The sequence below is a fragment of the Homo sapiens genome, chromosome 3 (assembly GCF_000001405.40).
Source record: "Homo sapiens chromosome 3, GRCh38.p14 Primary Assembly".
NCBI lineage: Eukaryota > Metazoa > Chordata > Mammalia > Primates > Hominidae > Homo > Homo sapiens.
Window position 1 is genome coordinate 62,347,862 of NC_000003.12, and position 26,314 is coordinate 62,374,175.

The 26,314-nt window shown below is 45.2% G+C and overlaps 1 protein-coding gene across 1 annotated transcript, besides 6 other annotated features; it reads right to left on the minus strand.

Moving 5' to 3' along the window:
• Positions 14,033–14,327: an enhancer, noted in NCBI's record as "tiled region #9750; HepG2 Activating non-DNase unmatched - State 22:ReprW, and K562 Activating non-DNase unmatched - State 24:Quies". NCBI's record gives its function as "activates a minimal TATA promoter and a strong SV40 promoter by Sharpr-MPRA in HepG2 and K562 cells {active_cell/tissue: HepG2 | K562}" and the evidence as "EXISTENCE:reporter gene assay evidence [ECO:0000049][PMID:27701403]".
• Positions 17,190–18,182: an enhancer, noted in NCBI's record as "VISTA enhancer hs434". NCBI's record gives its function as "enhancer in: forebrain[4/4]" and the evidence as "EXISTENCE:transgenic organism evidence [ECO:0001131][PMID:17130149]".
• Positions 20,273–21,179: an enhancer, noted in NCBI's record as "NANOG-H3K27ac-H3K4me1 hESC enhancer chr3:62353809-62354715 (GRCh37/hg19 assembly coordinates)". NCBI's record gives its function as "activates a minimal SCP1, AML or CMV promoter by ChIP-STARR-seq in naive H9 embryonic stem cells {active_cell/tissue: H9 hESC(naive)}" and the evidence as "EXISTENCE:reporter gene assay evidence [ECO:0000049][PMID:30033119]".
• Positions 21,180–22,085: an enhancer, noted in NCBI's record as "NANOG-H3K27ac-H3K4me1 hESC enhancer chr3:62354716-62355621 (GRCh37/hg19 assembly coordinates)". NCBI's record gives its function as "activates a minimal SCP1, AML or CMV promoter by ChIP-STARR-seq in naive H9 embryonic stem cells {active_cell/tissue: H9 hESC(naive)}" and the evidence as "EXISTENCE:reporter gene assay evidence [ECO:0000049][PMID:30033119]".
• FEZF2 (FEZ family zinc finger 2) lies at positions 21,820–25,689 on the minus strand. Its single transcript, NM_018008.4, has 5 exons — positions 25,418–25,689; positions 24,156–25,065; positions 23,672–23,806; positions 23,356–23,488; positions 21,820–22,481 (listed from the first exon to the last, which is right to left on the minus strand). Exons 2-5 carry the CDS (start codon positions 25,005–25,007, stop codon positions 22,222–22,224), a joined length of 1,380 nt encoding a protein of 459 aa, NP_060478.3. The 5' UTR covers positions 25,008–25,065; positions 25,418–25,689; the 3' UTR covers positions 21,820–22,221.
• Positions 24,413–24,972: an enhancer, noted in NCBI's record as "H3K27ac-H3K4me1 hESC enhancer chr3:62357949-62358508 (GRCh37/hg19 assembly coordinates)". NCBI's record gives its function as "activates a minimal SCP1, AML or CMV promoter by ChIP-STARR-seq in primed H9 embryonic stem cells {active_cell/tissue: H9 hESC(primed)}" and the evidence as "EXISTENCE:reporter gene assay evidence [ECO:0000049][PMID:30033119]".
• Positions 24,973–25,530: an enhancer, noted in NCBI's record as "H3K27ac-H3K4me1 hESC enhancer chr3:62358509-62359066 (GRCh37/hg19 assembly coordinates)". NCBI's record gives its function as "activates a minimal SCP1, AML or CMV promoter by ChIP-STARR-seq in naive H9 embryonic stem cells {active_cell/tissue: H9 hESC(naive)}" and the evidence as "EXISTENCE:reporter gene assay evidence [ECO:0000049][PMID:30033119]".

Sequence of the window (26,314 nt, forward strand, 5' to 3'; positions counted from 1 at the left end):
GTTTTTGACTGCAAGCCACATTAAGAAATCTATTTCAACTGTGACTTGCCACAAACAGACATATAGAAAGATATATAAATAAAACAAGTTTTGTCTTTCAAATAGGACCACTGGGCCGGGTGTGGAGGCTCATGCCTGTAATCCCAGCACTTTTTAATCCCAGCACTTTGGGAGGCTGAGGCAGGCAGATTACCTGAGCTCAGGATTTCGTGACCATCCTGGCCAACATGGTGAAACCCCGTCTCTACTAAAAATACAAAAATTAGGTGGGTGTGGTGGCATGTGCCTGTAATCCCAGCTACTCAGGAAGCTGAGGTGGGAGAATAGCTTGAACCTGGGAGGTGGAGGTTTCAGTGAGCCAAGATCGCACCACTGCAGCAAGACTCCATCTCAAAAACAAAAACAAACAAACAAACGAAAACCAAAACAAAAACCTGTAAAAAGATTTTTAAGAAGAGTCAATTTGGGAAACTGGAATACAGATTAGATATCACATTAAATCAAATAATAATTCTTAATTTTTTAAAATGAGGTCTCGCTCTGTTGCCCAGGCTAGAGTGCAATGGGGGGATCATGGTTCACTGCAATCTCAAACTCCTGGGCTCATGCAATCCGCCTGCCTCAGCCTCCTGAAAGCTGGGACTCCAGGCATGTATCACCATGCCTGGTGAATTTTTAAAATATTTTTGTAGATACAGGGTCTCACTATGTTGTCCAGGGTGGCCTCAGACTCCTGGCCTCAAGCAATACTCCCAAAGTGCTGGGATTACAGGTGTGAGCCACTGCACACCTGGCCTATTATTTTCACTAGTGATCATAATAATTACACTGTGGTTTTTTTTTAAATGTTTATACTTTTTAAAGATACATGCAAAGTTTATGGTGAGAAATGATGTAATATTTGGGATTCCCTTTAAAATATATTTCATAAAAGAAAAAAAAACAAGCTAATGTGAAAACGCTAATGCGGTAAAAACTTAATTATTTGATCTGGGCGATGGGTATGTGGGAGTTCATTAAACTATTCTCTCTAATTCTGTATATGCTTGAAATTTTTATAATATAAAATTAAGTTTGGCCAGGTTTGGTGGCTCACACTTGTAATCCCAGCACTTTGGGAGGCTGAGATGGGTGGATCACTTGGGGCCCAGGAGTTCAAGACCAGCCTGGCCGACATGGGGAAACCCCATCTCTACTAAAAATACAGAAAATTAACCAAGCGTGGTGGGGCGTGCCTGTAATCCCAGCTGCTTGGGAGGCTGAGGTGGGAGAATTGCTTGAACCCAGAAGGTGGAGCTTGCAGTGAGCTGAGAACATGCCACTGAACTCTAGACTGGGTGACAGAGTGAGACCCTGTCTCCAAAAAAAAAAAAAAAAAATTAAGATCACAGCCGGGTACAGTGGCTCATGCCTGTAATCCCAGCACTTTGGGAGGCCGAGGCAGGTGGATCACCTGAGGTCAGGAGTTCGTGACCAGCCTGGCCAACATGGTGAAACCTCGCCTCTGCTAAAAACACAAAATTAGCCGGGCGTGGTGGCGCATGCCTATAATCTTAGCTACTTGGGAGGCTGGGGCAGGAGAATCACTTGAACCCGGAAGGTGGAGGTTGCAGTTAGCTGAGATCTCGCCATTGCACTCCGCCTGGGTGACAAGAGTGAAACTCTGTCTCAAAAAAATAAAAATAAAAATAAATAAAATTAAGTTCAAACGAAATGAACCTACTTTATGTACAATGCCCTCTGATATTTTATGTATCTTTTTAAATTAAATAATAGAAGAAAAAATGCTAATAATAAGCCCAGGTTGATTTCATGATGCACTAAAGCCTTGTGATGTATGGTTTGAGATGCTAGCTACCTCTGTCTCTGCTCTGCTCATACAAAATCACTGTAACACAAAAGACACTTTTTGGTCACTTGAATGCAAATTCAAAACAGAAAGCCTAATTCTGTTTCCAACTTCCAAAAATGTAATGCTTCTTGACATTTCCATAGTTGTCTATTTAAGTTCAATGTAAATAGCTGCTGCTACTTTGGGAGTGCCTGATAATGTCTATCACAGTACAAGGATGTATGTCTCTCTGGTGACATCTAAATGTTGATCTTGTAAATTCTGCGGCAACACATAATGTAGTACAAAGATATGCCAAGCAGCATCAAAGACTTTTTTTTTCAAAATCTGAGTTTAATCTAAATGTCAAATTAAATTTAGAGGAAAACAAATTACAAAGTGTATGTAGATGACTTCAGCTAATTAATTCTCCCCATTGATAATATTTTGAACTTTGGACACAAAGGTTGTTAAATGCTTTATTTCTGTTGTTACTTACAGTTGCTGATTTACAAAGCAAGTTAACTGTATAACCCAAAATTTTTTAAAAGGCAAATTCTATTTTTACACTAAGTGGGAATTTCCAACATTAAATCAATCTATCTATACCCAGTGTTTGTATTGTGCTGAGATTTAGATTTTAAAAAGAACCCTCTAGTTCAAAAAATAAATATATCACTCTCTACCTTTCTTTTGCTAATGGGGGAAACATGTCCATTGGTTCTAAAAGGTCACTTTTTGTGAATTTGTGAATTTGTGAATACCTTTCTTGCCCTCTTTCCTAAAACCCTATGTAGCAGAAACCATTGGCTGGTTATCTAACATCCTTACTACTCACCTTCCCCTTACTTAACTGCAACAAAATTTTATTCACATATCATCTTTTTCTAAGACATTGAGTGCTCCAGGGAAGCTGCTCCATCCCAATTGATAGTTCCAGGAGCTACAAACCAACTCATCTAAACCAGTCATGCTAATCCCCTTCTCCTTGCCATTGATTGATTTAGGACTAAACATGTGATAAAATTCTGGCCAATGAAACAGAAGAGTAAGTTGGCAAAGAGCGTTTCTGGAAAACGTTTTCTTGCTCCAAAGAAACAGAATACTTTATTCACCTGGACATTCTCAGAGCTGCATACGAGGCCAGAACTCCTGCAGTATCTTTCTACCAGCCTCGAGGATAACCTCACACAGAGGATGGCCAGTCTAAGAGAACACAGAAACAGACTTGAGGCCCCTACTTCTGGGTTTCTAGTAATATGAAATGATCAGTTTCCTTATTGTTAAGCCACTTGCATGTTACTTGCAGCTAAGAGCTCTAAATGATACATTCACTTTGTAGAATTTCAGGCAAAACTTCAAATCCTTATTTGTTAAGCAATTTGTGATATGAAACAGAGAGTGGATCTGTTTAACTCTCAAACAGCTGGTCATTTCAATTCAAAAACAAAAAAATGGCCAGGCATGGTGGCTCCCTCCTGTAATCCCAGCACTTTGGGAGGCCAAGGTGGGTGGATCACTTGAGGTCAGGAGTTTGAGACCAGCCTGACCAACATGGTGAAACGCTGTCTCTACTAAAAATACAAAAATCAGCCGGGTGCAGTGGTCTGTGCCTGTAGTCCCAGCTACACGGGAGGCTAAGGCAGGAGAATAGCTTGAACCTGGGAGGCGGAGGTTGCAGTGAGCCGAGATTGCACCACTGCTCTCCAGCCTGGGAGACACAGGTAGACACGGTCTCAAAAACAAACAGATAACTGTATGAGTTGATAAAGTATCAAGGAAAGATCCTAATGGCACAGGTCTCTGAAAAGTTTAGGGGTACTTTGGCAAATGAAGTCAATAGAAAGAGCAAAAAAGATGGACAAGTAGAATGATGACTCAGTTAACCCTATTAGAACAAGGGGGAGGGAAAAAATCTCACACATCTGAATTTCACTCATCATTATCCTCAATGCGTTTGAAGGCATGATTATAAGATTGTCAGCTCCTACTGAGGAAGAGTTTGGCATTCTGGCCAATTATGAGACAAGCTATACTCTTACAAGGATGTCCAAATGGCTAAAGTTCTGAACACATACACAAGATGGGTCGACCTACATATTTCATTACATGGTACTGCACAGTATGTATAAGTAGGCAATTTCTGAACTTAAGTATCAGCAGAGAGAGATGCTGCTCTAATACCTGGAGAGACAGGATAAAAAGAAAATTGAATATTGACAACAGATCTTTTTATGGTAAAGGAGAGATTAGGCCACTCTCCTTCTGCAACTGATGAGCAATTACTGGGCAAAGAACTAGCAGAATTGCTGTATCACTCTGTCTTCACCAAGGACTGTATAATTACTCCTTTCCATTTCTAATTTTTAGAAAAGCATGCCTGGTGGAAGAAAAGGTAGGTAGGACTTGGTTTCCATTTTCAGGGGGATAATGTGAAGATAATGTGTTTTGACTCTAGAAACATCTTGAGCTCCTTGAAAGAAAGGAACTATGTAATTTTAAAATGAGAATAATTATATATTTTATGTAAAAGAGTTATACGCTTGGCTTATGATATTTAAAGCAAAATGATCACAGCATATGTTTGTTTTCTATGATTTGGGAAGTGGCATTCGATTTTAGAACATTGGCTGGCACATAGTAGGCACACAGATATTAGTTGAAGGAATATTTGTTCACTAATTGCCAGAAAAAAAGTTTAAAAGGATAAAAATATGTTGTTTATCCATCTGAATAGGGAGAAAAAGCCTTTTTTAACTTCTAAAACTTCTAAATAAGTTTAAAGTCCTTTTTTGCATGATACAACTTTAGAATAAATTATTTCTATTATTACCTTTGGGGTTTTTTTAAGCTGACAATTTTTAAAACTAGCAAATATATTTTTAAACAGTTTCTAAAACTAAATTAAGCTTGATAATTAGGTGTAAATTGAGATGTGAGTGGCAATTCTATTTAAACTCTTTAAAAATCCATTCTATACTTATCAGTATTCTTAATAGAACATTTGAATTTTAGAAGAATTTGAAAGGAGATAAAGTTTAGGCATATCTGCCTTCTATGGAGGCTTCCATGGATTTATTTCAAATGTACTTTTGCTTTATTTTTAAAAATCCCATAAAGTAAGTTTAATAATTCAATGGGATTTTCATTAATGTGGCAGGACATTATAAACCACATTTGAAACCATACAAGTACATTTAATTCTAATTTGACCCATACATGTACTATTTCTTAAAAGCTTATCAAATCCAGACCTTTGAAAATGCATACACTGTAACAGATTTTTTAAAAACATGATGGAAAATATATACCACCCAGCTAAACACTCTCTTGATTTAGAATCGAGGCCTATATGTTTCTATTTCCATAGTGACTATTGCTGTGGAATCGACATGTTTTAATTTAGATATGAGATTATAAACATCATTTGGAGGCAGAATTTATTTTTTTCTCCTACAATTTCTGAAAATTGATCAGTCTAACTGCTGAACAGAAGCAAATTCTGGAGCAGGATTTAGAAATTATTTGGCTTTTGGGGCATTTGAGACTAACAAAAGATGAGTTTTCACAGAAACTCATGGCTTTTAAATCTTTAATCCTTAAAAAATGTAACTTTTCATACTTTATAAAACAAAGAAGAAATTCTTTATCAGGACTCCTTCAGAAGTATTTAAATTGTGCTAACATATTGTTTCAAAAAATAAAAAAAATCAGGGCAATTAGATAAGTACAGATTCTGCTTGCATTTTTGTCTAAAAATATCCTAAAAAGTTGAAATGAGACATTATACGGTCATCAATTACCTAAGAAGAGTAGTGACAGTGTGACGCACATTTAGGTCAAGTAAAAGTTAGCAACCCAAATCACTCATGAAAGAAAAAGAAGGAAAAAATTATATTCATTAGCTTTTTTCCATGAATTTTTTTGAACCCCTACCATTCCTGGTCAAGAAGCTCATAGATGAGGGTAGGCCATGAAGAGGAAACAGGCAAGTGTAGTGGAGGCTTGTAAGTGCTCCCGTGGAGAGAAGCTGAAGGTGTTGGCAGAGCACACAGGAGGAAGAATGCAAAGGGTGGAGGAAAGGGTCCTGAGGGTTCTACAAAAAGAAAAAGTTGTAGACACCAAAAGGGGCTCCTTCTTAAAAAATAATAATAAATAAAGACGAAACACTCAGACAACTCTGCCTAATATGGTGGAATCACAGAGCCCAGCTGGCACATAAGCAGACACCATCCCGTTCCTTATGACCGGAAGTTATTAAAAGTCATACGATTTCAATAACCCTTGAAATGCAGCTTTTGGATTAGGATGAATAAAGTTGGAAGAGGCCTTCATAAATTCATTCTATACTTGTCACTCTTCTTATTATAACATTTGAATTTTAGAAGAATTTGAAAGGAGATTATTTAAACATCTCCAACTCTTTCTGATCGCTTTTTGTTTTCCCTCGTAAGGGTAGAGTGAATCCAAAAGTTTATACAACTCAAGGATTGCTAGAATTGCCCCGCCTTCAGAAGCCAGCTCCTTAGCCCAGGGATAATCTATCGAAAAGAAACTGTGGGTCTGCAGAGGGGAAATCATAAGAGACATCAGCCATGAGGGGAGAAAAAAGATGGCGAGAGAAGACATTATTTTGTTTAACTGATGATCAGCCAGACTCATCAATGACAACAGAAAGCAAAAAGCTAAAGCTTTTACAGCATTATTTCAGGCTTAAATTTTCTCTGAAAGCCCTGCAGGTGTTTGCTGAAGGTCTTCTCCAATTTAATGAGGTGTGTCTAGTATACTCTTTGAAAGGATCATATTTAGGCCAGGCATAGTGGTTCATGCCTGTAATCCCAGCACTCTGGGAGGCCAAGGCAGGTGTATCACTTGAGGTCAGGAGTTCGAGACCAGCCTGGCCAACATGGTGAAACTCCATCTCTACTAAAAATACAAAAAATTAGCTGGGCACGGTGGTGCGTGCCTGTAATCCCAGTTGCTTGAGAGGCTATACTAGACAGGAAAATCACTTGAACCCAGGTTGCAGAGAGCAGAGATCACGCCATTGCACTCCAGCCTAGGCAGCAGAGCAAGACTCCATCTCAAAATAAAATAAAATGAAAATGCCATATTTAACATCTATTGTCAGGCTTTTTCACTCTTTGAAATGTTATTAAATGAAGACCTGCTGGGACTCTGGAGGCTATGAAAAGCAATGGGGCAGATCAGAAGGGACAAGACAGTCGTTCATGAAATATTTACTGAACACTCACTATGTGTTGGGTACTATTCTGGGATCTGAGGAATGCAGAAGTGAAAAGAATGTATAAAGATCCCTGCCTTCACGAAGCTTACACTCTAGTAGCTGGAGAAAGATAATCAATAAAGCAGGGGAGGGGGACAGGGAGTGTATGTGTGGGAGGGGAGAGAGAGAGAAGGAACGTGCCATCAGGGTAGATTTCATATTTCAAACAGATCTGTAGAGGAGTAGATTGGTAGAGGAAAGCCTGCCAAGATCTCAAAGGGCAAGATCTGAGCAAAGACATGAAGGAAGAGAAGGATGATCCGTAGGGAAAAGGGTTCCAAAGAAGGCACAGCAAATGCAAAGGTCCCGAGGCAGGAATGTGCTTGGCATGTGAGAAGAACATGAGGAGGCCAGCATAATTGGAGTAGAGAAGAGGAAGAAAGTAGGTGCGCTCAGAGACATTCATTTGAAGGGATGGGGGTGAGGGTCTTGCAAGTCACAGTAAGCCTTTTACTCTGAGTGGTAAATGGTAAAGCATTGGAGTGTTTTGAATGGAAGAGTGACACGATCCAATATTTCTCAACAAAGATTGACTGCACATCTACTGTGATTCAAGTACTGTGCTGAGCCACATACTTAGGTGCTAAGAGTACACTAATAATCATGACAGACACAATCCTGGTCCTCGTTGACGTTATATCCTAGTGGGAAAGAAAGAAAAAAAAACAAGTAAAACAACCCACAAAAAAAGAATTTCTACTGTGATAAGGCTACAAAAAACAAAAACAAAAACTCAGGCACTTGAATAATGAGAGATGGGGTGAGAGGAGTGTATGGGGAAGTTTACTTTGTGTAGGAGCATCAAATAAAACTTCCCTGAGGAGGTGACATTTGAGGCGAGTCTTAAGAGATGCAGAGGAGCTAGCTCTAGCTAAATATAAAGTTGGGGAGAAGTATATCAAAGGGACGGAACTGCATGTTCAAGGGCCCCAGGAAACAAAAGGATGTGGCTTGTTACAAGGAGAGAAAGAAACCAGTACAGCTGGTCCACAAAACATGCAGAGAGAGAGAGGAAGATAGGATGAGACTGTAGCTATAAGCTGGAGCTCGACCAGGATAGTAAAGGGACCTGAATATGAAACTGATGACCTAAGGTAGACAAAATGTCAGACATCATAAGAGAACTATAGATTTTAAAAAACAGTAAGTTTTGAAGAAAAACAGCTGGCATGGGGCATTTGGAAGGGAGTAGTGTTGAACTATTTGTTGTGGATGCATTGAATCTGGCCATGTTCAGAAGGGAAGACGACATTATGAGAAGACAACATCATGGGGGTGGGTCGGAGTTGTCTTCAAATGCCTACTCAGCCAGTAACAGCTGTGGCTAAACTGACACTTTGAGAGCCTCTGTTTTCCCCCACCTGAAATGATGACATGTGCCTTGCAGGTGTGGGAGAATTAGAAATAATGTTCATAAAACTCCTCATGTATTGCAAGTGCCAAATAAGTGATAGTTATGATAGAATATGAGTTCTGTTGATTTGAGTTTCTACTCCCCAGCTTGAGTGAAAGCACAGAGCCAGTGACAGCCACCATCTGAACCTTGCAAATCATTTTCAACACATCACTTTATTTGTACCTCCAGCCTAGATTTGTTAAGTGCCTACAAGGTGCCAGGCATGAGCTTGGCATTGGAAATACACTGCTGACAACAAGCCCCTGCCCTGTGGTACTTCCAATGTACTTGGGAAGCAAACAAAGGAATAAGGAAATATATGACTTGTGATAAGTACTGTGAAGGAAAAGAATGAAAGAAATGTGGAATGAGTAAGGAGAAGGATGGAGGAAGAAGAAAGGAAATCTAGGAAAATGATGTGAAGTAAGGGGAGACAAAGGCTCTTTCTAAAGTAAGCCTCTTTGTAAGATAAACTATCCCAAGTGTTACTACAATTAGTATTATTTAACTCCCTCCTTTTCAGGAAAAGCTCTTCTTAGTACCCTATACTCCGAGGAGGAGAGGTAGCCAGCCAGCCACAGGAAAAGTGAGGTAGAGGAGGGAGAAGGATTTTCACTCCTTGGGCTCACCTCAAAACACTAGGGGTGGGAAACAAACTAAGGAGGAAATCAGCCCCCATTAAAGGGCTCATAGGGAAAACTGAAAACTCCCAAATCTCTTTTTTCTAGCAGACACTTTGGCATTTATTTTCCCAGAGGACAGAATATATAACACTGACTTCCAAAGCCATTCATTTCCCTTGATCTAACCAGAAGTGATGTGATGAGTACTTTAAGCTTAGAGCAGCCACTTGTGAGTTCTACAAAGCACCCCCGAGGGATGCAATTGCAAACATCAGTACGTTCTTTTACAACACAATATTCCTATGCAGTAGATAGTTGACTTATGTCAATTTTATAGATTTGAGAGAAAACCGTAGAGACCTTGTGCGTCTTCTTCAAATTAATCCTAGACCTACAGCTTAAATCCCATGTTTACGCTGGCTCAGGCAGAACCTCCAACTCTGCTCTGCCTTCATCCCCAGAGAAACCCTGCAAATTTGATTATAGATGTATAAGATATGAGAAATTTATGTGAGAGAAAATTTTGGCCAAGAGGGCAATTTTACTAAAAGTCATGCATTTTTATGAATCAGTCACAATAATCAGAGAGCTTTGATTTCCTTCATTTCTTTTTCCACAAACTGTGTCATGACTGAAGTTGTCTGGCAGCTTCTAGTTGTTATTAGGCAACACAACTGGTGCTAGCCTATGAGAACTTGATCTTATAGGTTAAGACTTATGAGCCTATACGAGAGCTTATGAACACATACTTCACAACATTTAAGGTTGAAGAGGTAACTTGAAAGAAAATCTGATCAAGGAAGTTGTGTTTGTTTTCTGATGTCTCTTAAAGATCAACAGTACGATATAATCCATTGTCCTTTCCTTGTTCATCTTAGGCCTTAGGAGACTCAATGTCTATTGAACCAGGCTTCTCTTTCAGTAATCTCTGTAGCTACCGTATTTTTCTCTTATTTGTAACCTTGTTTTCTATTTATACTAATAACTTTATTGAATATACGGCATCTTTATTTGAATATATGGAATCTTATTAAATATATGGGACAACCTTATTGAAATATGTACTCACTTTTGGAAAAGAACAAAGGATAGATACAGAAAACTTCTTCCCCAAATGTACAAGGTTGTAGGATCTGTGTTCAGTTAACAAAGCAAAGACTTCTAAACTCAGACTCTGGAAGCTAGCCTTCCTCCCATCTCACTGCTTGGCCTCAGGCAACTATCTTTCTTTCTTTCTTTCTTTTTTTTTTTTTTTTGAGACACAATCTTGCTCTGTCCCACAGGCTGGAGTGCAGTGGCGCAATCTCGGCTCACTGCAAGCTCCACCTCCTGGGTTCATGCCATTCTCCTGCCTCAGCCTCCTGAGTAGCTGGGACTACAGGTGCGCACCTCCATGCCCGGCTAATTTTTTGTATTTTTAGCAGAGACGGGATTTCACCGTGTTAGCCAGGGTGGTCTTGATCTCCTGACCTCGTGATCCGCCCGTCTCGGCCTCCCAAAGTGCTGGGATTACAGGCGTGAGACACCACGCCCGGCCTCAGGCAACTATCTTTCTAAAGTCTGGGTCGAGATGCTCTCTTTTTTAGTAGACTACATTTAGCAACTTGTTCCTACATCATGGGAGTGCTGGGGGGAGAAAAAAAAAAAAGTTATTTCCTAAGAACTCTTTCTAAGCAAAACAATCCTAACTCCCATTATTGTTGTGCTATATTTTTAACTTCTCTCTTTCCTAAGCTGTTTGACCAGTGTCAGCCCTTCTTACCCTAAAGACATTTTTATTCTGAATATAAATATGGGGTGTGGATAGTGTTTTCTTCCTCCAAATTTTTTTTTCAAGAAGCAAAGCAGAGCACTGAATGTGTAAAAGCCACGCTGCCTGAAGGACCCTCAGGAGTATAAGGAGGGATTCAGGTAGACAGTAAAAATCCTGGAAAGGGAAATCCAATCTTGACTGTGAGGTGTCCTGGTTCCAGGACTACAAAGAGAAGGCGGGTCATGGAAGGAAGCTGACTATACTCATCTGCATCTTTGGTGGCAAGCCATAGTGGACAACACTGACCAATTTATGTGAAAAAGGAATTCACTGGAATGTTATTGCGCAGCTAATAAAACAAAACAAAGGTTGTAATGCCAGATTTGGAAAGGCAAAAATTAGAGCAACTCAGGGTGTGTAACTAACAGGTCCACAGTCTTCTTAAAATAAATTGATTCACAGTCTCCTTGGAATGAATGAGCATCAGTTATTTATAGTCTTATCCCTCTGCTCAAGGGTCAACAGAGAAAGCACCTGTATGACCTAGCTTGGGTCCCATGTCTGTTCCTTGGCCAGTGGATATGGCATGGGGGGAAGGACAGATTGCTTCACAACAGTTCCAGTGATCTGTGTTCAGTGAAGAAGGGCAGCTATCCCAAAGCAAATTAGAATGCTGATAACCAGAAGAAGGGAAAGTGGATGCTGCTCAGGCAAAAACAAACAATAAATCATCCTTGTGTTTAGGAATTGTTCATTAGTGACAGTCATTGGCACTAAGACATCCTACAAACCTCATCATTCTATGAGCTTGTGTAACAGTTCACTCTGTCGTTCCCTTCTCCTGACACTACAGCTAGGTCTCCGACTTCTGTGACTTCAGGAAGTGTGAGAGAAAGAGTGGTATCCTGGAAAGCTCTCACCCAAAAGTCTGTTAAGAGTCTCAAGTTCCTAAGACAAGCAACCACCTCCTTGTGGAAAAATATGGCCTACCCAATATAACTGTTAAACAGTCACATTTAAGTCAAGGATGTGTTGCTTCGGTGATTCCATCTGGAGACTTGGCTGGGAAATGCACGGTTTAAAAACATGGCAGCAGTATCTCTTTCTATAAATTTTTTTACTTTGATCAATTACCATTCCATTCAGTGGGAAAATGGTATATGGGTCAATGGCCTACTCCACCCACTGGCCAGGAATGTTCTTTGTTTTCTGTGGCATACCCTCAAAAACTCCTTTTCTGAGTCCTAAAGCAGATTTGAGCTGGATCAACCAATGGGCAATTTGGAGCTCTGGGGGAAGGGAGGCTTTTTTATTAAATCCAAGTGGATTAATCTGAGGGGCCAACTGGAGTTGTATTGACGCTTCTCTTAGTTCCTGGGTGCATCAGGGACTTAAATTGCACCAAAACTGGTATCGGCCACCTATTTAAAGTAGCCTTCTCCTAGATATGTCCTATCTGGTCACTCTCTTTTATTTCCTTCCTAGTGTTTACCATCATCTGAAATTACTTCTTGTTATTTGGCATGTTTATCATGTGTCTCCCACCATTAGGATGTGAGCTCCACAAGGTCAATCTGTCTTCTTTAGAGTTGTGTCCCTACTGCAATGCCCAGCACAGACCAAGCCTTCAATAAATATTTGTTTTATGACTAAAGTGCTACAGAATGGAGTGCAACATGGCTATTCATAATACTGGGTTTGGTAACCTTCCCACCCATGGGGAGGAGTGGAAGCTGATATCCACCTCTTAAATTTAATGTACCCACTAAATGCCAAGCATAGGACACAACATAGCCAACAAAGCAGACATAGTTCCTGCCCTTATAGTTCTTATAGCATTTTATTTGCTAAAGAACACTGTAGTCTATTTGCTCTGCCAAGCAAGTATCCCAAGATTAGAGTGGTAATAACATTAGCAGTAGTAATTAATCATAAGAGTAAATAGCTATAATTTATTCAACATCTATGTGCCATGTACTTTGCACATTTTATGTCATTTAAATCCTTCTAACAAGACACTGGGGACTCCAAAAAGTGGGAGGATGGGAGACGAGCAAGAATCGAAAAATTGCCTATCAGGTACAACATTCACTATTTGGGTAATAGGTATACTAGAAGCCCATCCTACCAGACCAGTATGCAATATACCCACGTAACACACAAGCACATGTACCCCCCAAATCTAAAACAAAATGAAATATCTGGAAAAAAATCTTTCTAAAAACTACCCTATCAATATTAAAGATTTCAAAGATGAGACTACTGGGTCTCTGAATGTTAAGCGGAATCACCTACGGTCATGCAGCTGGTAAGTGTTGAAATCAGCTGACTTATGTGACTCGAAAGCCCATGATGTTTCATCTACCTCCTACTGCTTCACTCAGAAACAGTCAGGCCTCAGCAACTGTTCTCTCTGCCCTAAGATATCTCTAGCTCCAGAAGTCAAATCCATTGGATTATTCAGGAAATTTAGAATGCTGTCCAGTCACTACCTCGTAAGGTCCCTCACCTTCCAGCAATAATAATTGCGGTCACTTACCTAAATGCTGGCAATGGATCAGGTGTTAGACTTGTCCTATTGCATTAGATCATCATAACAGTCCTGTGCAGTAGATGTTATTGTGCTCATTTTGCAGATGAGGGACCTGAGGCTTAAAGAGGGCAAACCTCTAGCCCAGTGTCCCACAGCTGCTCAGCAGCAGAGCAAGGTTTCAGAGTCAGATCTGTTAATACTAAATCCAGCCATGTCAAACCACATATAGTTGCCATCAACTTCCTGTCTTTTTTTTTTTTTTTTGCCTCTGTGTTTTCACTTAAGTTTTCAGAGATATCTCTTCCTCCTTTCTTCCATAGCGAACACTTGCTGCTCTTTGAAATCTCAACGTAAGCATCACTTCCTCAAGAGGAGTATCTTAGACTTCCCTGTCTTCTGCCCAGTATCATTCAGGAATCTTAGGGTTAGAGCAGAGAGACTGCATTTAAGCAAATACATAAGTCCACATGTGCATTTGGCTTCAGTGATACCAGGATCCAACGAGGTCAAGGGCCAGGTCTCAACTTTTCTCATGCTCTACCTCTAACATTCTCAGCACAGGAAGGTCTTTCCTAACATTGTAGCACACCAGATCCCCAGACTAACATCTAACTGTAACCTATTTATCAACCCAGAAGAAAGACTTCTGCTCTGGCAAAGTCCTGAGTAGAACTCTCATTGGCCCTATTTGGGTCAGGTGCACAGTTCTGAGCCATTGGCTGTGACCAGGAAGGTGCTGCACTCTGATTGGCCAGGCCTGGATCACATGCCCATGCGGAGGGCTGGAATAGCTTCCACCTTAACCGTGTGGACTGAGAATGGGGGAGGGGTGGTTTTTCCAAAGGAAATACTGGGTGCTATTACCAGACGGGAGAATGATTATAGCAGGCAAAAATAACAGATGTCCACTACACACACCAACCCAGACTAGATTGAATGCCCAATTTCATCTTCTTAACCACGCACTGTATGGGGATTTTTGTTGTATGTGTTTTTCTCCTCCACTAAACTATAAACCCCTCCAGGGCAGAGGCTATGTCCTCTCTCTCTCTCTCTCTCTGTATATATATATATATGTATATATATATGTGTGTGTGTGTGTATCTATATATATGTGTATATATATATGTGTGTGTGTATATATATATATATATATATTTTTTTTTTTTTTTTTTTTTGAGACATAGTCTTGCTCTTCACCCAGGCTGGAGTGCAGTGGCGCAATCTCGGCTCACTGCAAGCTCCGCCTCCCGGGCTCACGCCATTCTCCTGCCTCAGCCTCCCTAGTAGCTGGGACTACAGGCACCTGCCACCACGTCCGGCTGATTTTTTGTATTTTTAATAGAGACGGGGTTTCACCGTGTTAGCCAGGATGGTCTCGATCTCCTGACCTCAGGATCCGCCCGCCTCGATCTCCCAAAGTGCTGGGATTACAGGCGTTAGCCACAGTGCCCGGCCTCTCCTCTTCTTCTTTGTAAATTCAGCACCCAATAGACTGCCTGACACATAAGAGATGTTCAAGCCATATTTGTTGAGTGAATGTCAAATGTATGAATTTAAGAAGAGCTGATGGTATTTCATCTTACGTCTTTCTTTCAAAGGCAGCACCATGGTGAAGTGGAAAGAACACATGTGCCAAATCAGTGTTTTTCAAAGTATAGTTTGGGGAACCACCTGCATCAGATCAGATGCAGATTCCTGGGCCATAAACCAGATCTGTTGACTTGGCATCTCATGAAATGCTAAGTTTCATGGGGTCCAGAAATCTCCATTTTTAGCAAAATGTTTATGTGATTCTTATGTACATTCCTGTTAGTACCGTGGCACCACTATCAGACAATCAACTGAGGGTGAGTCCCAGCTTTATTGTGTGTCAGTTATGTGAACTAAAGGGAGTCATACCCTCTCAGCAACTCAGTTTGCTCCCTTTTAAAATAGGGCTAAGAAAACTACCTCATAAATACGTAGTAAGCCGGGTGCAGTGGCTCACGCCTTTAATCCCAACACGTTGGGAGGCTGAGGAGGGAGGATTGCCTGAACCCAGGAGTTCAAGTCCAGCCTGGGCAATGTAGCAAGACACTACAAACATTTACAAAATTAGCTGAGCATGGTGGCACATGGTGGCGCATGGTGGCACACGCCGGCACATGCCTGTGGTCCCAGCTACTCAGGAAGTTGAGGTGGGAGGATCACTTGGCTGCAGTGAGCTATGATCAAGCAACCACATTCCAGCCCGGATGACAGAGCAAGACAAGACACTGTCTCAAAAAAAAAAAAAAAAAAAAAAAAGTAATGAGGAGTCAACAAGATAACACTGGTAGTTTCTTTATAAAGCGTTGTATAAAAGTTTTAATACTTGAGTTTTTCTAATAATAATGGACTCTGGAATGCTTAGTATATACACGCCAGTTGTTGTTCTACAGTTCTAATTGTATGTGTTAACTCATTTAACTCTCACAACAACCCTGAGAGATAGGTATCCTTAATATTTCCATTTTGCAGATGAAGACACAGAGATAAAAGTTGTTTTCTGGCAAGTGGCTGAGACAAGATTTGAACTCAGCTTGCTCTTATGCCAGACTCCAGGCTCCTAGCCACTCACCCTTTCTTCTTAGAGATAACATGCCATCCTTCCTTAGGCAATTAAGCACCAGCCACTTCAGTGGCAAAGTGAGGACATTTGGAAACTCTGGGGACACCATTGAAACTTTCTGAGGCAAAATAACTCCAAATAAGACCTAGGACTGAAAAACACTGAAGAAAGGAGAGAAACAATGACAGTCATGTTGGGCCATGTAGCTTTAACAGGATGCCTTGGTGAAGAATTAACTGTATCAGATTCTGGTCTCTCTGCAGTAGAAAAGTCTCATTTTCACCTCCCTTTCCTGAAACACACCTTCTTGATTCTGTAACACTTCTGTGCTTTGAAAACCAGAGCTAGTCTCTAATCTTAGATGACTGTTTTTATTTTGAATTTGGTATACTTCTTCTTCCTCCTTTCTAACTTCTAGACACTAATACATTTTTTTCCATGAAGCATGAGCAAAGTCTGGAAGTGCAAGCCAAGCCCTCAGAAATGTGATAGCTGTTACCAAGGATTTGAGAGTAAGAATACAAAACCTAGAATCAAGATTTAAATGCTGCACTCTAGTATCTGAGATGGCACCCATCCACCTCAATGATGGAATCAACAAGGCATTAAGAAACCAGAGAATTTGTTCTGGGTTGCTTAACTAATGGACTAAACTTAAAAATCCTGTCACACCTCTAGCTTCTGTTTACCTGGCTCTGCTGAACACCAAGTGTAAAAGAACCTCTCTAACACTTCTGCTGTTGGGATGCCTGGACGTTTATGTTTAATTAAAATGTAATATGTATCTCATATAGACATATACTGTTGACCTACTTTGTTCAAAAAAGGAAACATTAAAATGAGGTAGTTTCTTAAAGCCAGAGGAACAACTATAATAATTTGAATGCTTCATGACCTATTCCACAAAGCCGTGGCAGGATCAATGTCTTCATTTCCTTGCCATCTCTGCTCCGTGCAGAATTAGGAAGGCAATCACCTAAGGGTGAAGGTTTTGAATGGTCACTAGGACAAAGGAGGGTAGAAAAACTGAATGTGAGCTGGTAACATATGGTGCCCTTGGGAGGCCTATGGGTCTAGAAGAGAGGGGGGTGGCTTGCTGATTGCCAGCAGCTAATTACCAAATTATCAGAACTTTTGGGGAACCCTCGAATGCTAGCCTGATACATTCATTTTTCACTCATGAAAGAAACATCCAGAGGGTGGGGGATGGGCACCAAGAGCTTCAAATCAGCACCTCCAAAGGCCTGGGGCTGGTGGCTGGAGTTTGCTCTGCCACGGAGAGTCAGTCCACCCTTCTGCTTATTTCCTAACTCTTGGCCTGTTGAGTTCTTCACACTATCTGTCCACTGTCCACCAAGGGGCCTGGCCATGGTTCCCTTTTCTTGGGCTATGTACTTTCAACCAGTTTTGAGCAGCCCCATTTCAGATTGGCCTTTTTATGTTTGATATAAAGAATAGTTGTTGGCCAATTTCATCTTTTCATCGCTGTTCTCTAGGCCTGAATCCAAGCAGTTTGTCAGATGCTCATTAACTCCCCCTTTGGCTCTTTCTAGTGTGTCTCCTAAGCTCATTGTGCCAAGAACTAACGCTTTCTTTTACACGATTCTCTTTCTCTGCTCCATCAGGGAGACAAATTACTTTCCAAAAGGGATCGCCAGGGATGGTTTAATGAGAATTTCTTTGGGGCTAGGCATAGAACGCAATGTAGTTAACATTCGGTGGACTTAATTGGACTTTTCTTTTCTGCCTCTTTTAAAAAAAATCTGAAGCTATCCTGTTAATCTCTCATTTGTAATCAATTGTGTTGACTAAACAAAAGTCTAGGTCGTCTTTTCTTCCTGTCCCAGACAATCCTTTGTTGCCTCTAAATGCCTCATTCTTGAGTGATCCTGGTCGCGTAGATGGGCCCGATTGTTGACAGTTCATTATTGCGCTTTTGTCCATTTAATCTTTCTTGCTGTGTTTTGCATGTGCATGCCTTAATGAGCTCCGTTGGCAATTAACATGTTTCTAGGAGCAAACTGGTTGCTCAGACGTTTGAGAGGGAAGTGCAGGGAAAAGGGCAACGCAGCTGCCTTGAGGTTGTTTATTTCCCAGCGTTTTCTCAAGACTCCTGTCCTCTCTTTGGCAGCCCCCCCACCCTTCCTCTTATCACCTCTTTCCCTCCCCCGGCCCACTCACCACCAGCACACCTGGACGCCTTACTGCTTTAACTCTTGGACCTGGCTCAGGCAGCCCCCTACTCACTTGTGAGCCAAACAGCAAAATGGGGACCATCTAGACCCACTTCTGCGGCTAAGGCAAGAATGAGCACAGTGCTCCCCAAAATGTGTCTGGGATGTTGGCAACTTTTCTGTGTCACTCTTTGCAGAGAGGAACCTCTAACCCGCCTAAGGCAATAGGACTGTACAATCTGTTATGTACGAGGCTGTGGCTTTGGAAGAAGGTTTTTTTTTTTTTTTTTTTTTGAGTCTTGCTGGCAAGATTGCTGAAGTGTGAGCAGTCATGGACAGAACAAACATCTTGTAGGGGAAAAGATAATTGGAGTCTTTTTTGTGTCTGTGACAGGATTCCCCTCCCCCGCAATTTGATTTCTTAAAAATATTTTTTAAGGGCAGCCTCTTCAATTTAATCAAGGTTAGAATATTAATATGTAGCTGATGACTACCTTGTTTAAGTCATTTATTAATATTATAAACTACAAGTCATGCAAACAGTTTAATATTAAGAGAGAGAAAAATCAGAAAACAGAGCCTTTCACCCATCAATTCCGATGCATGGTGAGTAACTAAGAAGGATGAATAGCTAAGATGGTTACTGAAAGGGCTTAGTGTTGGCTTTAGAACATGTGCTGGCTGTGAAAGGTGTTTTGTAATTCAGGCAGAAGGTTCATTTTCTCCTCACACTACTTTTCAGGTGAAGGAATCCTTTCCTGAATCCCACACCTGAAGGAAGCCGACATCTTAAACCTGGGAGTGACTTCAAACTTGTGGAAAGTAGAACTAAGCCCTATAGATACAGAGAACTCTGTTTATCTACAATTAGCACCAGATGTGAAATAACACCTTCTCAGGTGAGAGCGATTGACAGAAGCTGGTGTGAAGGTTAAGTAACAATCAAGTTATGAGGAAACAACCTCAAGGATGTTGAAGTGTGCAAGAAACTCTACTCAGTTATACCCCTGAGCTACAGTTAATGTTCCTCCCCCCACCACTGCAGAGATGAGCAGTCCATGAGAGAAATGCCTCCACCTCTACGCATGAGTTTTATATTATTTGCTGCCTAGTTTGCAAGCAAGCACGCCCCCATCCCTCTTCAGAATTTTAAGCCTGGAAGCAAATTTCTCCAGTTTTATGAGATGGGGGACCCTAGGAGTCTCTCTCCGTGAAAACTTATTACAGACTTTCTCAAAGAATGTTCTCTCACTTGATGGTTAGGGAGTTATTTCCCTGGGCAGTGGTGGGGAAGGCGTTCTCTCTTTTATTTATCTCTCCTTCTTAAAGAGAACTTGACCCTGATTTCCACGTGCAGGCCAACTTTTCCCATAACTTTTAAAAGAGGAGACCTTGCATTAAATTTTGTGGTATCTGTCCCTCACCCAAAGTTTTGGAGCTATTTAAGAAAAAGGTGGGCTTGCCCTGGTCATTGTCTGGTCTTCAAGAACCACATTTGCAAAGGATCCTCTCCAGAGGAAGGAAAAGATTTTGGTTGAGATGGCTGTCATAGGGCACTGTCATAGAACACCCAAGATCTCCCAGACGTAATGGGGGGAGAGCGCTAATAAGACACTATTGTACTATATGAGGACAAGGAAAGGGAGCTGACTCCTTAAACCGGCCTGCAGTCTCCCTGGGGATAGATGTCTGGGAAAAGCAAGGCGATATTTTCATATCCTTAGCCGCCAAGTCCTCCTCGCCCATCCTGGGGTTTCCTGGGGTTTGTGGCATCCACCGAGATTTCGGAGTTAAATCTGCATATTCCTCTGGGTCCCAATCTCCCCTAAGCGAACTGCAGCCAGAACGAGCTAACATTTAAATTCCCCCTCGCTTCCTCTTCCCCCCTCCCCTGGCTGCGTCTTCCTAGACTTGAGGGGAGGAGGGGAGGAATACAAAAAAACGAGGACGCTCTCCTTTCAGGAAATGGAATTCTAATGTACGCGTTCCTATTTCTGAATCGGAGGTACTAAAAATACCCCCGCGACAGCCTGAGGAAGCTGTCGCCGTCCTCTGTGCAAACAAAATCGACAATTCTCCTTCCCCGCGCAATGGGTCTGCGAATTGGGCGGCGGGCGGGGACAGAACCGTTGGCTGACCAGGACACAACCTCCATCCTGCCCCAGAGCGTCTTTCTCCGAGCCCCAACCCCGAGATTCTTCCTCCACTGAAGCGCAGGCCTCCTAAAACCCCCGGAGTTCGAATTCCTGCTCTACCAAGCCTGGTGACCCCAGGCATGTCACATAGTTCATCTCTGCCTCTATTTCTCCGTCTGTAGAGTGGGAATAATCATGCCCAGCTTGAGGGTTGTAGTCACCGTTCGAGAGGATGTGTGTTAAGTTCCTGGCATAGAGCAAGCCCTCGGGAGATGACAGGGTTTTCGCTAGTGGAAACCACTGGCACTCTCAGCACTGAGCGCCTACTGTATACCAGGTGTTGGGCAAACCCGCACTCCAGTCACTTTCTGAGTTACTTGGCGGAGTGAGGGGGTGCCCTTTGCGTTAAGCATCTTTCCCTTCAAATAGTCGCCTCCCGCCGTGGAAATACGCGTGGGGTCAGCTCCCAGCCACACTCGCCCCCTCAATGGGGAGGTTGCGTGGAAGCGCACTCCCGGGCCCCGCGCCGCACTTCCTCCTGGCGCTGGGGAACATTGTTCCAAGAGACGTGGGCTGAATCGCCGCGCGGATATTAAAAGTGTGTGTGGGGGGAGGCCCGGAGCGACGCGCCAGTAATCCGAGCTCTTGATTATCCAGATTCGGATCAAACGGGGCGGCGGCGGCCGGCCCCCTCCTGGGAATGATTAGATGATTAATGTAATGCTGTTTGAAGGGTCTCTGTTTTCTCTCTTAATTTGGGTCATTACTTAGAAAGCAAGCGTGAGATCATTTCATCAGCGTGCTCGGCAGCAGAGATAGCTATTCAGGAAATGGGCTAACGGAGCGGTAATCAGGACCCAGGAGGCGGCGGCGGCGGCGGCAGCGAGCTCGGGGAGCCCGGGCGCGCCCTCCGGCGGCAGGGCTCAGGGCACCGGGAGGCCAGCCCCAGACCGAGAGCGCAGGCCAGTGAGCCCCGAGGCTCTGGCTGGCCTGGGGGACCCTTACCCTCCAGTTCTCGCCGCCAAGGGAGATTGGGAGCGGTGGTTGCCCTCCTTAGGTCTCCCGGAGAAGGGGACGCGCCCAGAAGCTCTCCGGTGGGGTAGGGCGTAGATCGCTTACCCTCGCGGGGCGTGGCGCTTTGCTCAAGGACGCTCCCAAAAGCTGCTCCCCAACACCCAGTCGCTTTTAACCCTTTTCTTTGAATTTGCTTACCCAAATAAGGCAACACCCAGAATCCCAAGCGTCTGAACAGTCACCAAATAAAAACTTGGCACCTGCTGTAGGCCGACGTAGGCCTGCTCGCCCTCACTCCTGGGGGCCTTAGCACACAAGCCCAGCAAGAACACCGGTTTGGCCTCAACCCTGGCCCCAGCGTCCCAAAATTGGTGCATTTAGGAAGGAAATGCTATAAACGCCTAATTCCTTCTCGTTCTTTGGGGTTGCTGAGCTGACCTCGCCGCGAGGGGAGAGGGGGAAAAAAACGCGCACTAATGATTCTGTTTATTGAGTTATATATGTATATATTCCGTGTTCGCTTGTACAGGAGGATTTACATGGCTGTATAAAGATGGCTAGGGGCGCCGCGCTCTTCTGGGGCGCTCACGGTGACAGGCTGGGGTTAAAACTGGCTGCCCCAGGAGAAGCGGAGGCCTGGAATTAAATACGTTTCGGCGCACTGGATTTAAATAAGTTTCCTGAATATACAAAGGTGGGGGCCACGAGTTTGCTGCCAGTCATCGAGGAAACATTTAGCTTTCCAAAAATATGCTGGTTTCGATAAATAGATTTTAGCCTCTCTGCTATAGTTTTTTTTTCTTTTAATTTTAGAAATAAGTTTATATGTGTGATCTGTTTTCAGGTGGTACAGGGAGGGAAGGAAGGGCAAGGCAGTAGCTCTCAGCTCTGCACTGTCCTAGTCAGGTCCTTTGCGGAGGGGGCAGCAGGGCCCACGCTGTCGTGGAGTTTGCGCACATGTTTCTTTAAGTCAAAGTTTCTGCAAAACCCTTTGCCGCAAGTGGCGCACGTGAAAGGCTTCTTGTCGTTGTGGGTGTGCATATGGAAGGTTAGGTTGTAGACCTGGTGGAAGGCCTTGTTGCAGATGGTACATTTGTACTGCTTCTCGCCGCTGTGGGTCAGCTTGTGGTTCTTGTAGTTCCCTACAACAGATCAAGAACAAAAAACGTGGGGGTATGGAGTAGAATGGTGGGGAGGAAGAGGCGGGCGTCCCAGGGGCAGCCCAGGTGCCTGCTCAAAAAAGGCGACGCTTGGCTAGGCGGGCGCGACCTCTTCGAGTGAAGAAGTTGTCAAACTTCGTAAGCGTCAAGCCGGGTGCTCTCCCGACAAGACCGAGACTGAGTCCCGCGGAGCCGCTCTGCGCTCCTGCTCTGCCCGCCACAGAGGCTGGTGCAGCTTCCCTCCCGCCGCGCTCCGCGGGCCGGGAAACTTTTGCGTAGCCCAGAGACGCACCGAGTCCTTCTCCTGGCTGATGCCTCGCTAGAAGAAATTCGCACGAACCCGGGCTTCATCCTTTTTCTTTTCCCCCTTCTCATTTTTAAAGTTACTTCTTTCTCGCCCCCCAACTACCAACTGAAGATCCAAAAGTGCCTTGGAAAATCCGATCCAGGGGCCAAGGATCATACCGGTTTCCCCCAATCTTAGATTGTTCCCGGGAGGGTTATTTTGCCTCCAATATTTTTCATTTGAAAGGGAAGTTCCGGATACAAAAGGAACCTTTTTCTATAGGGCAATACCCTCTCCTTTTCCTACATCCTTTCCTTCTGTCCCCGTGCTTCCTTCGACCTCTCGAATTCGGAGTCTCTCAGTGCACCCAGCCTGCATACAGCGTGGTCTACTAACCCCGCTAGGAGAGCTTCCCCCTACACCAGGCACAACCCGATTCTAAAGAAATGCTGCGCCCGCGCCTGCAGATTTCGCCTTCTCTCTCCAGATCCCTCTTTGCCTTCCTGCCAGCCAGCCGCGACCCGAGTCCTGAGGTGAGGTGAGAAGAGAAGGCCTCGCCTGGCACGTTACCTTTTTGGTGAAAGCCTTTGCCGCAAAATTCGCAGACGAAGGGCTTGTAGCCCGCGTGGATGCGGATATGCGTGTTGAGCGTGGAGCTGCGGTTGAACGCTTTGCCGCACTGGTTGCATTTATGTGGCTTTTCCTGAGGAAAGGGGCGAGTGCACAGTAAGGAGAGGCCACCTCGGGAACACCTGGAAGGGACATCCCCCCCACCCCCACTCAACCCTAGAGGGTAAGGGATAATCTTTGGCCATCGTATCCCCGGTGTTATCACTAAGATTCTGGGGGTTGCGCGCGGGCTAGGCCCGACCCGGGGGCCACGTACCTGGGTGTGGATAATTTTGTGCCTGCAGAGCGTGCTGGCCTGGCGAAAGCCTTTGCCGCAGACTTTGCACACGAACGGTCTGGCTCCGGTGTGGACCGGCATGTGGCGGGTGAGATTATAGTGAGCGTTAAACACCTATGGAAAGACATGGGGGGCCTTGTGGTGCGTCTGTCCGAGGGCCTACAATCAGCCCCGGGGGGGCCACAGCCTACCTCCCCCAACCAACACCCCCTTCAGAAACCAGAGCCTTTTTCAGTTTGTAAAGTGCTGCCCAAACTCCTGCTTACACCAATACTGTGTGGCCGCTGACAAGGGCATCCCCATTTTACAGAATAGGAAACTGAGGCCCAACGAGGCTCCCAGTTTGGGTAGTCAACTACTGGGGAGCTCCTCAGCTTGAAAAAGGGGCATTCCAGGCTGCCCCAAGGAAGCCGCCGCCGCCGATCGCCCCTCCCGGCCCCCCTCGCCGAACCCTGGGCCTCACCTTGCCGCACACCTCGCAGGTGAAGTTTTTGGGCTTGCCATCTGCGGAGCCTCCTGGCAGCTTGCTGTGGCCCTTGACGCCTCCGCGCTCGGCAGTCAGGGCCGAGTTTTCCTTCAGTACCTGCTCCAGCGGCGCCGGCAAGCGCTCCTTATGGGGATAGGGAGCCGGGTGGGGGAACTTGTCCGCAGCCAGGCCGGCCAGCTTGGCGTTCTCCAGCAGAAAGAGCTTGGGGTGAGCAGCCAGGGCGGCGGGGGCCTGCGCATTGAGGAGGCCAGACGGGAAGAGGTGGCCGCTGAGGAGCTCAGACGGCGGGTACGCGGTCGAGTCCAGGTAGTTGAAGTAGTAGAGCGAGCCGCTGGCCGGCAGCCCCACAGCCTGGTTGATGACCTGCGGCTTGATGACCCTGCCCGCGGGCAGCGCGGACGGCGCCAGGCCCAGCTCGGCCTTGCAGCACACGCCACAGTTGGTTTTGCACAAGCCGCTGGCGCCGCACACTGGGGCCCCCCCGCCGCCGCCGCCGCCACCGCCGCCGCCGCCTCCGCCGCCGCCCGCCCGGAGGCTGCTTTTCCAGAGCTCCGAGTAACTGAGCAGTGTCTTTGACGGCACCTCGTAGCCTAGGGGCTGGAGGGGGATCATACAGGGCAGCGGCGAGCAGAGGTTGAGCAGTTTCTTGCCCTGGCTGCCGTCCGCCTCTAGCGCTCCAGGCCGGGGCTCAAAGGGCGCACGGGGCTCCGACGTCTTGGCCATGATGCGCTCGATGGAAAAGGCCAGTGTCTTGGAAGTGGCCGGCGACGCTCCGGCGCGCGGGCAGGCCGGGGGCACCATGGTCTCCAGGGAAGCCGAGCTTGCCATGGCGCGCGGAGCTGAGCCGAGCCAGGCTGGGCCAGGGCGCAGCCTCTCTCCTCTAAGTCTGCATTCCGGAAAAGGCAGGGGGGAAAACTGCAATTTAATAAGCACCTAGTCGGGCCCGGGTCACCCATTTGCATTCAAATGAACAGGGGCAAAACAAAGTGCACCCAAGGGTACCAAATTACCGCCCATTAACCCGGCGCGCAAAGGAACCCACCAGCCCCTGCCCTGGGACTTTGAAAGGGGGAAGAAGGGGGAGGGTTTACAAAAGAAAAGGGGGGGGGCGGTGAGAAAAGAGTCTCAAATTAACCCCCCTGAGCCCTTCCCTGGACCCGGGCCTCTGCCACGCGTGCTGGGAGCTGGACAGTGAAGGGGCAAAGTTAAAGAGGACCGGAGAGCCACCTCGCATTTACCTCTTTCCCCCACCACCAAGGAGATGCGTTCCGAGCCATGCAGCGTGTCTCTTCTGTCACATTTTGATGGCAAACATCTTCCCCTCCGCGTGAGATCACTGTCTTTTACATTCAGCTGACATCACATGAAGTCACTTGAAGTGGAATGACATGGGCGGCGGCGCGGCTCCCGTAGCGGCCCCTGTGTTCCCCCGCGCCTGCCGGCCGCCGCCACCACCGCCCCTCAAACTTTAAAAGGAGGCAACTGGCGCCCGCGCTCCTCTCGGGAAAGTGCGAGCGGTTTGCGAATAGGGAAAGAGGGAAGAGACGGGAGGGGGAGGGGGAGGAATCGTGATGGTTTTGCCGGTGGAAGGAAAGGGGGGGGGGGACCCAAACCCAAACCTAGGCAGAGTTCCGTGCGTGATTCACAACTTTGGAGGCCTGCAGGTTTGGGGGACGCGGGGAGGGCGGAGGGTCCCGGACGCGGCGCCCCCAAAGGGCCCCTGGGTATCAGTCTAGTAGCCGAAGTATCCCTTAGCCCTCCGCAGCCGAGCTGGGCATCGTGCTAATAAACTGCCATTTACCCACGGAACCGGCGCCAGCCCCGAACACGCGCAAATGATAATTACCTCATTAGGATGTGGCGCATGGACGCGGGCGCCGCGTTTGGAGGGGGGAACTTGTTAATGGGGAAATATTAATTTATGCAAAAGCAATGAGCTCGCCTTGGCTGGCGTCGGAGGTCGGGAGAAAGCTCCCACTGACTAAGGACGACCCCGAAGCGTCACGGAGAGCAAGGCCGCTCGCCGGCATCTCGGGGGCCTCGGCGCCGCGCAGGTGCGCCTCCAGCTTTATGGCCAGCTCTGGGTCTGAGGCTGGGGGAGACTAAACCGAGAGCTGGAAGACTTTCGGAGATCC

Bases quoted from the DNA above. Each gene is read 5' to 3' on its own strand.
- FEZF2 (NM_018008.4), bottom strand. From the start codon at position 25,007: ATGGCAAGCTCGGCTTCCCTGGAGACCATGGTGCCCCCGGCCTGCCCG. The intron at 23,489-23,671 runs GTACGTGGCCCC...CCCTTTCCTCAG, and splicing joins ACAAAATTATCCACACCCAG to GAAAAGCCACATAAATGCAA. The intron at 22,482-23,355 runs GTAACGTGCCAG...GATCTGTTGTAG, and splicing joins CAAAGGCTTTCACCAAAAAG to GGAACTACAAGAACCACAAG.